We start from the raw sequence: 15,577 nt of genomic DNA on the forward strand, positions 1-15,577 counted from the left end.
GGTGAAGATGCTATTATATGTACATTGTATCATTGTTGTGAACAACAAAGTATTTGAAATATTCCATAAACTTAGTTGATAAAGCAGCAGCAGGGTTTGAGAGAACTAACTCCAATTTTGAAAGAAGTTCTATTGTGGCATAAAATGCTCTCAAACAGTGTCATATGCTACAGAGAAATTTTTCATGAAAGACAGAGTCAATCGATAGGGCAAACTTCATTGTTGTCTTATTTTTTAAAAATTGCCACAGCAACCCCAACCTTCAGCAACCACAACCTTGATCAGTCACCAGCCATCAACACTGAGGAAAGACCCTCTATCAGCAAAAAGACTACAACTCACTGAAGGCTCAGATGATTGTTAGCAATTTTTAGGAATAATGTATTTTTAAATTAAAGTATGTAAACTGTTTTTTTAGACATAATGTTTTTCTACTGCACATATATAAATAGACTGCAGTATAGTGTAAACATAACTTTTATATGCACTGGGAAACCAAAAAATGTGTGAGACTCACTTTATCGCAATATCCACTTTAATATTACAGTGGTCTGGAGCTGAACTTGCAATATCTCTGAGGTATGTCTGTAAACACATTTGATCTACTTGCAACATGACAGTGAACTGCGCTTTCTCCAAACACAGAGAAATGCTAGAAAACATCTAACCCCCAAAAAAGGTATATAGCTTAGAAATACCCAGGGTTCAACAAAGAGGTAACCCAAAGCCAAAGTTACAAGAGTATATGCAGACAGCATAACAACTTAAGAACATATAACGTAGAAACTGAACCTAGGGGCCAGTAGCTAAGGTTTTAAGGTCCATCTGTCAGGACAGGATATGTGGTTTGGGGCCCATGTAAGTAGTGAAGTTAGAATGAAATAACTGAGGTACCTGAATAAAAGGTTCAGATATTCAAAAGATGGCTTATTCCATTGAAAAGGGATATTAAAAGCAAAAACAAAATATTTACTCACTAGCCCAGGAGAGCAGTTTTTTTGCCAGTTCTCTGCCAAAAGCTCTGGGTAGGAAAAAGTTTTCTATAACCAATCAAACCCTAAAGATAGGTTTGGGGCCCATGGTATGATGGTAATCCCATGCCAGATAAGAAATAGCTGCTAGTAAGGAATTTTATATAATGTTATAGTGTAATTGCTAAGAAATATTATCAAATGAAAAAAACTAGGGGCTGGACAGTGTCAATAGTATGCCTGCATTTATCTAAGAAAACAATACAAATTTAATTCCATTTTAAAAGCAGACACAAAAGAAAGATAAATCAAAAGCTAATTACATTGTTTACCTATGGGAAAGGAGAGAAAAGGGCAAAGTGAGAAGGATAGAAACTAGACTTCACCAAATTTACCTCATTTTCTAGTTTTGACTCTGAAACTATAAAAATTTCTAACATAATTATAAAGCAAAACTGAATCAAGAATGTTAAAAACTATTCCCAAAATTTGAAAGTAAAATGAAATAAACTAACTTATGTATCAAGTTGCTAGCTTAAACATGGAGAACAATTATTTCAAGTGACATTAAACAGAGTAATTTGATTATAAATTCTAAGTGGGATATACAGCAAGAACCAAAAGAACTGTAAAAAAATTGTAAACTGTTTCCCAGTAACCATATTGTTAGTAATAGCATTGGTATTGTTACACTGATATTAAAATAGAGATTAATTTCATTAATGTTATTATACTAGGAACCAAGAGTTTTAGCGTAAGAGGGAAAAAAACACAAACATAAAACCAAAAATGTTAAGTAAAACTTCTATAATCCCAAATTCGAAATAGAAAAGTTTTTTAGAACAAACTGTTTGCAATGTTGGCCTTGTGAACTTGGATTTCGAAGTGTTGCCACCAGTCCCAGAACTAATAAGAGAGGTCACTGTGCCTAAACAGTTTGTACAACGTGGTTTAAACTAAACACCTCCTCTCTTTCTGAGAGTCTGGAATTTTGTATATGCCAGGCAGAGGATGCCTAGATAAGCAGCCTCTAATAAACATCCTGGGCACAAAGTCTCCAGTGAGCTTCCCTGGTAGACATTTCACATGTGTTGTCACAACTTGTTCCTGAGGGAATTAGGTTCATCCTGTGTGACTCCATGAGCAGAGGACTTTTCAAGGCTTGTGGCTGGTTTCCTCCAGACTTTGCTCCATTTGCCTTTTCCCTTTACTGGTATTGCTTTGTATCCTTTGCTATAATAAATCACACATGAGCATGGCTATATGCTGAGTCCTGTGAGTCCTCCTAGTGAGTCACTGAATCTGGGGGTTGTCTAGGAATTCCTAAGACAGTGGGAAACTTTGCAGACTAATAAGCTGGTTTCCTCAACAAATAAATTGCACAAGACAAAAAGGAGGAAAAAAAATCTTGTAAAGAAATTTAATAATAAATTTTTAATTCTAATTTTTTGTTTCAGTTCCTCTAAATATGGCAAATACTGATTGGAACAAAAAATTACAATTTGTTATTCAGAAGCCATAAAATTCAAAAAAAGTTAAATAAATTGCAGATCATTGTTGTATAAGTCCATGTCATTTATACTCTTGAAGTCATTTAAGCTTAAAACTGCACTAAGACTTTTGGAATATTCTGTACAAACAAACTAAATTTGACTAAAGAAGAATATAGAAAACATGAACATATTCAAGATATCAAAGAAATTAATTCAGCAGTCAAAAATATGATGAAAACCTCAGTCAAAAGTTTATAGACAAGTATCACCAAATCTTAAAGAAACAGGTAACCCCTATTTTAAGCATGATATTCCAGAGAATAAAAAATAGGAAAAGCTATCCAGCTCATCTTATAAGACTAGGGTATTAGTCCATTTTCATGCTGCTGATAAAGGCATACTCGAGACTGAGAAGAAAAAGAATTGAAAGAATTGAACTTACAGTTCCACATGGCTGGGGAGGCCTCAGAATCACGGTGGGAGGCAAAAGGCACTTCTTACATGGCAGCAGCAAGAGAAAATGAGGAAGAAGCAAAAGTGGAAACCCCTGATAAACCCATCAGATCTCCTGAAACTTAGTCACTGTCATGAGAATAGCACAGGAAAGATCAGCCCCCATGATTCAATTACCTCCCCCTGGGTCCCTCCCACAATACATGGGAATTCTGGGAGATACAATTCAAGTTGATATTTGGGTAGGGACACAGCCAAACCATATCATCCTGCCCCTGGTCCCACCAAATCTCATGTTCTTACATCTCAAAACCAATCATGCCTTCCCAACAGTCCTCCAAAGTCTTAACTCATTTCAGTATTAACCTAAAAGTCCACAGTCGAAAGTCTCATCTGAGACCAGGCAAGTCCCTTCCGCCTATAAGCCTGTAAAATCAAGAGCAATCTAGTTACTTCCTAAATACAATGGGGGTACAGGTATTGGGTAAATACAGCTGTTCCAAATGAAAGAAATTGGCCAAAACAAAGTGGTTACAGGGCCCATGCAAGTCCAAAATCCAGTAGGGCAGTCAAATTAAATGATCTCCTTTGACTCCAGGTCTCACATTCAGGTCATGCTGATGCAAGAGGTCGGTTCCCATGGTCTTGGGCAGCTCCATCCCTGTGGCTTTGCAGGGTATAGCCTCCCTTCCCAGCTGCTTTCACAGGCTAATGTTGCGTGTCTGCAGCTTTTCCAGGTGCATGGTGAAAGCTGTCAGTGGTCTACCATTCTGGGGTCTGGAAGACGGTGCCCCTCTTCTCACAGCTCCACTAGGAAATGCCCCAGTAGGAACTCTCTGTAGGGACTCCAACCCCACATTTCCCTTCTGCACTGCCCCAGCAGAGGTTCTCCATGAGGGCCCTGCCCCTGCAGCAAACTTTTGTCTGTGCATCCTGGAGTTTCCACACATCTTCTGAAATCCAGGCAGAGGTTTCCAAACCTCAATTCTTGACTTCTGTGCCCTTGCAGGCTCAATACCACTGGGAAGCTGCCAAGGCTTGGGGCTTCCACCCTCTGAAGCCACAGCCCAAGCTTTACATTGGCCCCTTTCAGCCATGACTGGAGCGGCTGGGACAAAAGGCACCAAGTTCCTAGGCTGCACACAGCATGGGGACCCTGGGCCTGGCCCCAAAACCACATTTTTCTTCCGGGCCTCCAGGCTTGTGATGGGAGGGCCTGCTGTGAAGGTCTCTGACATGGCCTAGAGACATGGCCTGGAGACATTTTCCCCACGGTCTTGGGGATTAACATTAGGCTCCTTGCTACTTATGCAAATTTCTGCAGCTGGCTTGAATTTCTCCTCAGAAAAATGGGTTTTTCTTTTCTACTGCATCATGAGGCTACTGAATCATCAGGAACTTTTATGCTCTGTTTCCCTTTTAAAACAGAATGCTTTTAACAGCACCCAAGTCACTTTTTGAATGCTTTGCTGCTTATAAATTTCTTCTTCCAGATACCCCAAATCATCTCTCTCAAGTTCAGAGTTCCACAAATCTCTAGGGCAGGGGCAAAATGCCACCAGTCTCTTTGCTAAAACGTAACAAGAGTCACCTTTGCTCCAGTTCCCAACAAGTACCTCATCTCCATCTGAGATCATCTCAGTCTGGACCTTATTGTTCATATCACTATCAGCTTCTTTTCAAAGCCATTCAACAAATTTCTAGGATGTTCCAAACTTTCCCACATTTTCCTATCTTCTTCTGAGCCCTCCAAACTGTTCCAATCTCTGCCTGTTACCCATTTCCAAAGTCGCTTCCACATTTTCAGGTATCTTTTCAGCAACACCCCACTCTACTGGTACAAATTGACTGTATTAGTCTATTTTCATGCTGCTGATAAAGATGTACCCAAGACTGGGAAGAAAAAGAGGTTTAATTGAACTTACAGTTCCACATGACTGGGGAGGCCTCAGAATCATGGCAGGTGGTGAAAGGCATTTCTTACATGGCAGCAGCAAGATAAAATGAGGAACAAGCAAGCCCATCATATTTCGTGAGACTTAGTCTCGTGATAAACCCATCATATTTCGTGAGACTTAGTCACTATCATGATAATAGCATGGGAAGGACCAGCCCCCATGTTTCAATTAGCTCCCCCGGGTCCCTCCCAGAACACATGGGGATTCTGGGAAATACAATTCAAGTTGAGATTTGGGTGGGGACACAGCCAAACCATATCAACTAGTATAATCTCAACGTGGCAAAAATGGATAAGAAAAGACTATAGGCAGGCTCATTTACTAATAGAGATGAAAATATTCAACATAAATTAATGAATTTAATTGATTTAGTCAAGCAAAGTGTGTCCATCTATATCATCTAAATGTCTATGTCTACATACACATATCTACTTAACTGTGTCATAATCAAGTAAGATTTATCCCAGGAATTCAAGGATAGACTGACATTGCTAAATTTAGTAATGTAATCTGCCATATTAACAGATTTAGGAGAAAAACCATAAGATCATTTCAAAAGACACAGGAAAAAAAATTCAACATCCATATATTATATTAAGAAACTTTTAGCAAACTAAGAATACAAGAAAATTCTCTTAACCTGATATTTAATAGTAAAATTTTAAAGCATTCTCTTTAAAATCAGAAACAAGATAAAAATGTGTGTTAGTACTGCTTCTAGTTAGGCCTATACAGGAAATCCTAACCAGTTTTTTGGGATTTGGGGTTTTTTTTGTTTTGTTTTGTTTTGTTTTGTTTTGTTTTGTTTTGTTTGGAGACGAAGTCTCGCTCTTGTTGCCCAGGCTGGAGTGCAATGGCACGATCTCGGCTCACTGCAACCTCTGCCTCCCAGGTTCAAGCGACTCTCCCACCTCAGCCCCCCAAGTAGCTGGGATTACAGGTGCCTGCCACCATGCCCAGCTAATTTTTGTATTTTTAGTAGACACGAGGTTTTACCATGTTGGCCAGGCTGGTCTCAAACTCCTGACCTCAGGTGATCAGCCTGCCTCGGCCTTCCAAAGTGCTGGGATTACAGGCATGAAACACCATGCCCAGCCCCTAACCAGTTTTAAAAGTATAAGAATTGAAAAAATAAAAATTATTATTTACAAATAACATGATTATACAGAAGATCCAAGAGAATCTACAAACTGTCAAAACTAATGAGACAATTCAACAAGGTTACTGGGAATAAGATCAATATACAAAAAATTAATAGCATTCCTACACAGAGGCAATATCCAAGCATAAATATAATAAAACATCTCATTCCAATAGAAACAAAATCATAATGTACCTAGAATATATCTAACAAAATCTGACTAAAACTTCTATGGAGGAAATTCTAAAACTTTAACATCAGGCATAAATGGAAACTTAAATGAATGGGAACATATACCATGTTGGTAGATGAAAAAAATTCAGTTTCATAAAAATGTCTGTTCTCACTAAATTATTTCTATAAATTCAATTCCACTAGAAATTCCATGAAGGTTGTTAACAGAACTTGACAATGTGACCCTATAATTCACATGTAAAAGAAAAGACTGAAAATAAGATACTTTTTAAGAAGATGAACAAGGTGGAACGATTTATCCTAACAGCCATCATCCTATTATAAAGCTATGATAATTTAGATGGCATAATATTGTCATAGAGATAAACAAATCAACCACACAGAATAGGGAACCCAGAAACAGAACCACGTATATATGGCAATTTGGTACTGAATATTGTTGGTACGCTATATTAGAAAGTTGGCAATACAAATCATTGAGGAAACGAAAAGTTATTTTCATAATGATACTGAGAAAATTAGTTACATACGGAAAAAAAATTAGACCATCTCGCAAAATAAACTCCAGGTGGATTTTTAAAACTTAAGGCTAGAAAGCAAAATTGTAACATTTTTAGAAGAAAAAATGAAAATTAACCATATGACATCAAAATAGGAAAAGCTTTCTTAAGACCCAAAAAAGTAGAAGCCTTAAAGGGAAAGGCCAAAAATATTTACACAGTAAGTTTTGAAACCTCTATAAATAGATACATCACAAAGTAAAAAGATAAACCACAAAATGGTACAAGTTTACAATGCATATGACCAAACATGAATGATTATAAAAAAATGAAATAAAAAAGAAAAAGGTAAAAACAAAAGAAATGAAATGTAAATGGACAATAAACATACGAAAGGTTGTTCATCCTCACTATTAGGGAAATGCAAATGAAAATAAAACAACATTTCACATTATATTCTAATAATATTAAGTATAAGCAAGTATATGAGGAAAAGGAAATCTTACCCACTGCTGGTGAAACATAAATTGGTATTGCTACTTTGGGGAATGACTGGCTACATCAGGCAAAGTTGATAATGATTACAACCAACAAGCACACACCCTAAAGAAACTTTTACACACACCTGGCAAAGGAACAAGGATAAAAGTGTTCCTTACAGCATTGTTTTAACATTTAATACCTAGAAATAGACTAAACATCTGTAAATAAGTGAATAAATAAAATGCAGTACATTCATATAATAAAACACTGAGAAAAGGATACTATGTGTATCACTGTAGGTAAATCTCAAAAACAGAATGCTGAGTAAAAAAACAAGCTCCAGAATGTGTACAGCATGATATGATTTATGTTAAGTTTAAGAATATGCAAACAATAGTATACACCAGAACTCTCTGCAATAATGAAAATGGTCAGTATCTGCATTGTCTAATACAGCAGCCTCTAGCGATATGTGGATATTAAAGAATATTAAACACTTATAATGTGGCTAGTACTCCAAAGAAACTGAATGTGTTTTCTTTTAATTAATTTAAATAGCCACATGTGGCTATAGCAGATACCATACTGGTAGAGCAGGTATATAAATTTATGAATACATAAATATAAATACATACAATCAAATATATAAAGCTGGAGGAAGAATACATACCAACTTCAGGAAAGTGGTTATCTCTGGAGAAGTAAAATGAGACAGAATGGGATGTGAAGGAACTCAAGAGTCTTTATGAACACTTATTTCTTTACAACAAAAATAAATATAAAGCAAACATGTCAAAATACTTAACATTGTTAAATTTGGTTAAAATATTGTTAATATTGGTTAGTCTGCTTTTTCAGTATGTTTGAAATTTTTCCCTATTTAAAATTTTTAATATTTCCTATTTTAAATGTTTTATTTTCATTTCTTTGAAGCATTTCCTTTTTAAAATATTTAAATAACTTTTTGAAAGTAAACTGTATTTAAATCTTTATACCTGTAGAGCTAAACCCAAGAGATCAACTATCTTATGTATAGTCTCGATGAATATGTAAAACATTGAGAAAATAAGAAACTAGAGCAAAAAAAATGATACAATATGCTTGTAGAGTTCCTAATTTATGTGATGTTTTACAATTAATTTTCAAAGATCCAACCAAAATATCTAAAAATGTGTTATTTTACTTAGATTGTAAATAGAATGGAGACAAACGTGAATTTATCTTACAGGTAAGTTAGAACGATTAAAAATACATTAAATAAAATACTGAAAATAGCACTGGACCCAGGGTCATGGCAGTTTTTATTAACTTTCTAGTACCAGTTTATATTAACTTTGTGTGTTCTATTTATCTAGGTTTCCTCATTCGTACAGGCTGAACTAAAGAGTCTCTGATTTCACTGCAATTCTTTTAAGTTTAGAACTTTTAATCAAGTTTCATTTATTCTTTCAAATGCATATGTAATAAGTTATTTAGGATAATCATTCCTTTGTATCAAAGTGTCAAAACTCTGCACATCTGAAATCCATATTCCCTTAGTGGCATCTAACTCCTCCTCCTTGCCCATAGAAAAGACAGAAAAAGAAAGAAGAAAGTAAATACATGATCGGCTAGTCAATGATCCATGGTTCTCAAAGAACCTCATTTTTCAAAAATGGAAGCTTTTCTACTAGCTTTTTGTGACTTTTAATGGGTCTTATAATCAACACATAAAATCCTCCAGCTATTTTCTTTTAGATATCCCAAGACTCTGGAGAGAAAACTGATTCTCTATATAAGTTGCATCTTTGCTCACATTAATGTTTTTAATTCACAAAAATCTAAAACATATATTAGCCAGGAACATCAATTCATTCAGTGTTCTCTCCAAGTTATCATGCAGCCAAAGAATGCGGAAGAATTAGGTCTCTCTGTGCTATTCATCCATACAACTCTTAGTTACATCACTCAGTGTATGACAGAAATGCCAAGATTGGAGAAGTTTGATTGTTTATTATTGTTCTAACTGACCTGCACAACTGTTATTACATAATAAGGCTTTGGGTTAAATTATTTTGGATGGTGGTATAAATGACAGGAAATGGCAGTAATTCTCTTCTACTTGTTAATTTTTTTGGCAAAATTATTGAGACATTCCTGACCTCTATCACCTTTCATAAAATATACATACAACTTAAATTCATGTGATGCTTAATTTTATGTGTCAATTTGAATGGGGCCACAGAGTGCTAAGATTAAACATTGCTTCTGAGTGTGTCTGTGAGGGCATTTCTAGATGAGATTAGCATTTGAATCAGTAGACTCAGTAAAGTACATTGCCCTCCCCAATGTGGTTGGCCATCATCCAATTAATTGAAGGCCTGAATAAAACAAAAGGTGAAAGAAGGAAGAATTCACAGCTTTCTGCTTCCTGCCTGCCTGTTTGAGCTAGAACGTGGGTCTTCTCCTGCTGCTGGACTGGGATTTACACCATCAGCTCACCTGGTTCTCAGTCCTTCAGATTCAGAATCACGTTACACCACCAGCTTTCCTAGGTCTCTAGCTTGCAAGGAGCAGATCACAGGACTTCTCTGCTAATTCCTCAGAATAAATGTTCCTTACAGTCAGGTGCTACTTAACAATATTTAGGTAATGATGGATCTCATATATGACTGTGGTCTCAAAAGATTATATGGAACTGAAAAATTCCAATTGCCTAGTGACACTGTAGCCATCATAATGTACTACATACAATTATGTACAGCAGGGGTCCCCAAATCCCAAGCCATGGACCAGTACCAGTCTGTCACCTGTTAGGAACTGGGCCGCAAAGCAGGAGGTTAGCAGCTGGCAAGCAAGCTTTATCACCTGAGCTCCACCTCCTGTCATATCAGCAGTAGCATTAGATTCTTACAGGAGCACAAACCCTATTGTGAACTATGCATGCGAGGGATCTAGACTGCACACTCCTCATGAGAATCTAATGCCTGATTATCTGAGGTGGAACAGTTTCATCTCAAAACCATGCCCCATCATCCCTGGTCCACAGAATAATTGTCTTCCACGTTTAGGTCCCTGGTGCCAAAAAGGTTGGGGACCACTGATATATAGTACATAGTACTTGATAATGATAATAAATGACTATGTTACTGGCTTATGTATCAACTAATACTAGACTTTTTATTGTTATTTTACAGTGTGCTCCTTCAGGAGCCTCAGGCAAGTCCTTCAGGAGATATTCCAAAAGAAGGCATTATTATCATAGAAGATGACAGCTCCATGCATGTTATTGCCCTTGAAGAGCTCCCAGTGGGACAAGATGTGGGATGGAAGACAACGATATTGATGATCCTAACCATGGGTAGGACTAGGCTAATGTGTATTTGTATCTTAGTTTTTAATAAAAAAGTTTTAACAGTAAAAAAATTAAAAATAGGGGAAAAGCTCATAGAATAAGGAAATGAATGACTTTTGTGCAGCTGTACAATGTGTTTATGTTTTAAGCTAAGTGTTACTGTGTTTTAAGCTGTTATTACAAAAGAGTCAAAATGTTTTTAAAAAGTTTATAAAGTAAAAACGTTAATTTATCAACTTTATTTAAAGTATTTATTAAAAAGGTTAATTTATTTTTGAAGGAAGAAAAGTATTTCTTTATAAATTTAGTATAGCCTAAGTGTACAGTGCTTATAAAGTCTACAGTACTATACAGTAATGTCCGAAGTTTTCATATTCACTCACCACTCACTCACTGACTAACCCAGAGCAACTTCCAGTCCTGCAAGCTCCACTCACAGTAAGTGCCCTATATAGGTGTACCATTTTTTATCTTTTATGCTGTATTTTTATCGTAGTTTTTCTATGTTTTGATACACAAATAATTACCATTGTGTTACAAGTGTCTACAGTACTAAGCACATTAACATGCTGTTTGTACACTGTACAGGTTTGTAGTCTAGGAGCAACAGGCTAAACCATATAGCTTAGGTGTGTAGTAGGCTATACCATGTAGGTTTGCGTAAGTATACTCTATGCTGTTCACACAAGGACAAAGTCACCTAATGACACATTTTTCAGGAAATATCCCCATCTTTGAGCAACACATGACTGTATATCCTGTTGGTTCTGTTTCTCTTGAGAACTTTCACTAACACAGTTAACAAACGTTTCCTGTAGACATACAAGCAGCCAACAAACATATGAAAAATTCTCAACATCACTAATCATCAGAGAAAGGCAAATCAAAACCACAGTGAGATGCCATCTCATACAAGTCAGAATGGCGATTATTGAAGAGTAAAAAAACAACAGATGCTGGTGAGGCTGCAGAGAAAAGGGAATTTTTATACACTGTTAGAGAAAATGTAAATTACTTCAGCCACTGTGGAAAGCAGTTTGGAGACTTCTCAAAAATCTTAAAACAGAATTACCATTGAACCTAGCAATCCCATTACTGGGTATATATCCAGAAGAAAATAAACTGTTCTACCAAAAAGACACATGTACTTGTATGTTCATCGCAGCACCATCCACAATATCAAAGACATGGAATCAACCTAGTTACCTACCAATAGTGAATTGGATAAAGAAAATGTGGTATATACATACCATGGAATACTATGCAGTCATAAAAAAGAAGAAAATCAAATCCTTTGTAACAACATGGAGGTCATTATCCCAAGTGAATTAAGGCAGGAACAGAAAAACAAACACTATATATTCTCACTTATAAGTGGGAGCTAAACAATGGGTACTCATGGACATAAAGACAGCAACAATAGACACTGAGGACTACCAGAGGGGAGAGAGAAGGCAGGGGGCAAAAGCTGAAAAGCTAACTACTGGGTACTATGCTCATTACCCGGTTGACAGGATCAATCACATCCCAAACCTCAGCATCATGCAATAAACCCAGGTAACAAACTTGCACATGTAACCCTGAATCTAAAATAAAAGATGAAATTATTCTTTAATGTCTCCTGGAATTAATTAGCTTCCCAACATTAATAAGGCAATATTTTTCTTACTAAACATAAGTACTATTTTTAGCACATGGGAAGATTCAAGCTTGTAAAGTACAAGGGAACAGAATCCCCCCTACCCAAAAAGGAAAAAGCATTTTATGTTTCATTAATTCTAATTACAATAGTTGACCCTCATGAGAACACCATAAACCAGGATTTGATAGATAGGATTACAGTGTAGTTCAGTATATAATTACAATGCAGTCTGAAACACAACTTACCTTTCATGTTCTATTATATATTCAAAGTCAGCATAACACTGCTGGATGTTAAATACAGGACTACTTACAGGAACACTTGTTTTAAGTCCAAGAATTGAGAGGAAAAAGAGAAAAAAATTTTTCAATTGGTATTTCTAGTAACACCCAATGCTGCATACTCCATTCCAACTACTAAACATGCAATAAATTGTTACTCTTTGATAAACCTAAATCCAAATGAAAAAGGAAACATGAATATAAGCTACACTATCCTCATGATTAAAGCATACAGCTCAAAGACATACATTTTTCTTCCTCCAGCTTCCAACCTGCCAAAGGATTTTTACCTCCAGCACCCATTAAACATGAAATTCATTCAGGGAGCTCTATGAGTGATAAAGTAAAAGCTGCTGTCAGAAAGTCTGGCCAGTTTCCCCTGCAAATCTAGGAGAAAGACTGAGAGTATGTAAGCGCTGACATTATTTATAAATTACTTGCCATTCAGCAATCAATAAGAACTTAAGTATTATTAACATATCTCTTTTATTTCACTTAAGAAAAGCATTTTAGTTGGAGCAATTCTTGCTGATGCACTGAATCTGTACTTGAGGAAACAGATCTAATATTATACAAGAGTATAATTAGGAATCAAAAAGGCTAACCAATTAATTTTTTAGAACTTTAAGCTGATATTTAAGCTTTGCTTATGAAAGAAATGAAGAAAAGGAGAATATTGTTATTTCATGAAACCAAAATATCCTTTTTAAAAATGTTTTAAATTTCTTATAAGCTCTGTGATTCAAACAGTATAAATAGTCCATGTAACAAAGCAAAATTTAAAGTGAAGTTAATGGGTTCCCTCTATAAGGTTAAATTTCAACAAAAGTAAAAACATCAATAAGAAATAATATAAATTTTTAATGCTTTAATGCTTCCATTGATATCTTAAGGGAAGAACTTTATTTGGCAAGCTTCTTAGTTCCCAAAGTCATATTTTCCTACTTTTCAAGCAAAGAAACACTATATATAATAAAGTGACATGTGTAAAGAGATAATTTAGCATATGGACTTATTCCACTGATTTTAAGTGTATGAAGTGAAACTGTGGGTTTTGTTCTCTAATCTTTAACATTATTTTTTTAAATTGATTTCAAATCATTCTTTATTATATCAAAATTGCTTAAGTTTACCTAGCTAATTATGGGTGGGATAGTTACTCCTGACCATAATTGTATCAAAACTCTTACACTAGAACCCTGTGATATATAAGATATCTGTAATAATGTTATAGATTACTAATGGTAGTTCTCCACTTCTTTTCATCATTCAAATATGTACCATCATTACTTTTTCTATTTCTCTCAAATGTGAGTTCTCATAAGATCACATACCTCTCCTTAGTGTTTATGGCTGTTTTAATTTTTAAACTTAATTTTGAAATTATTTGATTAACATCTATCTCTTCTACTAGACTATAAGCAAGGACAGAAACCATGTCTATTTTTACATTTACTTTATCCTCAACATCTAGCATAGTGTCTGGCTTGGAATATGTGATCAATAAATATGTGCTAATCGATGGATAATATTAACAATAAATGGTGATTTTTTCCCTTCACTTTCAGAAAATCTTTCCTGTCTGCAGTATAAATTGGGCCTTAATAAATAGATGATTGAATAGAGATAATGCCAGAAGATCTTTCTCACATGCAGCTGTACATCCAAGAAACATAACATTTTTGTCTCTTTTTTATATCATTTTTACTTATTTATGGTTAAACATAAGGTAATAAACTGAAAACAGAGTACATCCCTTATCAATATCTACAACCAATGAAGACTTCAAGGATCTGCTGAAAAGGTACATAGTAAGAACAGAAATTAATAACCATGTAACCAACAAACTGATGGCCAAGTTTTCATAGTTAATATGGTCAAATATTGGAGCAAAGACAATTTGTGCCTGACACAAATAACTGCGCAAAAAATGAATGAATGAAGTCTTCTCCTCAAAAGGAACTACTTCTTGTTATGCCTACTGCAGTATTTTTCAACATCCAGACAAAATGTGTATGTGCATTTTATATATACTCCACACAAACACACTTACAGAGTGTTTTCAAAGGAAGTAAACAAGGTCAAAAGGTAAGATTACAAGACTCTAACCTGAAGGGAATTTTAAATATAAGGACAAACATGACCTGAAATCTATGGCCCATATTAAACTTCTCTCTAATCCTCTGACAACAGACAAAACAGTTGACCTTTCTGAAGTGTTCTCACCCTTTCTAATAAAGAGTATGGTTGATATCTCTCATATTAATGTAAAAAGAAATAATAATAAATAACTTACATTTGTACTGTTTTTCTTTATATCCCTTCCCATTCTAAAGAAAGTATTTTAGATGGTATATTAAACAGTACTTTATAATTTACAAGGCACTTCCACATAAATTCTCATTTAAGCTACACAACAACCCTATAAGTTATATAAGTAAGTATAATACTGTTAGCCCTATTTTACAAACGAGAACATTAATGGCCAAAAAAGTTAAGTGAACTGTCAGAGATACAAAACTAATAAGCAGAAAATCCAAGACCGTAACCCAGATGTTCTGACTCTTCATCTTTTCATTGTACCACAAACAGTAATGTAAAGTTAGAGGTATTTAAAATACATAGTGGCAACACCAAATATTAAACTAGCAGTGTATTTCTGTGAGTTTAGAAACTAGGACAGAATAATCTGAGTCTTTTATATTATCAGAAAAGAAATATCACTATTTCATTTGGAATATTACATTTCTTCTTCCACCATGCAATGCACTAGTCAACAATAAATTTACTAGAATGGCACCTATTAACCAGACTCAAAAATAAATCTAACAGCAGATTCACTCAATTACACAGTTAATACAAACTATTATATAGTTTTTATTGAAGAATAAAGATATTTTCCTGAATCTCTCACTGATAAAATGCAATCTTATCAATCAATTCACATTATTGTTTTATATATACTTCTCATAAAGTATGTTTGTCTTATTATCATCTTCCCTAAAACTCCAGTAAGATTTTTGTAGTTATCCTCAGGTTCAAAATGGAATAAGTAATTGTTTGATACTTTCTTGCTAAGTCTTTAAAGTACTATACAACTGCTGATGTATGTTTGTGCTGGCATTG

The 15,577-nt window shown here is 35.0% G+C and overlaps 1 long non-coding RNA gene across 47 annotated transcripts in view, besides 1 other annotated feature; it reads right to left on the minus strand.

The window, feature by feature from the left end:
- Positions 1-15,577, minus strand: part of NR2F1-AS1 (NR2F1 regulatory antisense RNA 1) — a 176,234-nt gene that overhangs the window by 92,330 nt on the left and 68,327 nt on the right. The gene's annotated exons all lie outside the window — the stretch shown is intronic.
- Positions 3,515-4,015: an enhancer, noted in NCBI's record as "H3K4me1 hESC enhancer chr5:92840906-92841406 (GRCh37/hg19 assembly coordinates)". NCBI's record gives its function as "activates a minimal SCP1, AML or CMV promoter by ChIP-STARR-seq in naive H9 embryonic stem cells {active_cell/tissue: H9 hESC(naive)}" and the evidence as "EXISTENCE:reporter gene assay evidence [ECO:0000049][PMID:30033119]".

The sequence above is a fragment of the Homo sapiens genome, chromosome 5 (genome assembly GCF_000001405.40).
Source record: "Homo sapiens chromosome 5, GRCh38.p14 Primary Assembly".
Taxonomy (NCBI): Eukaryota; Metazoa; Chordata; class Mammalia; order Primates; family Hominidae; genus Homo; species Homo sapiens.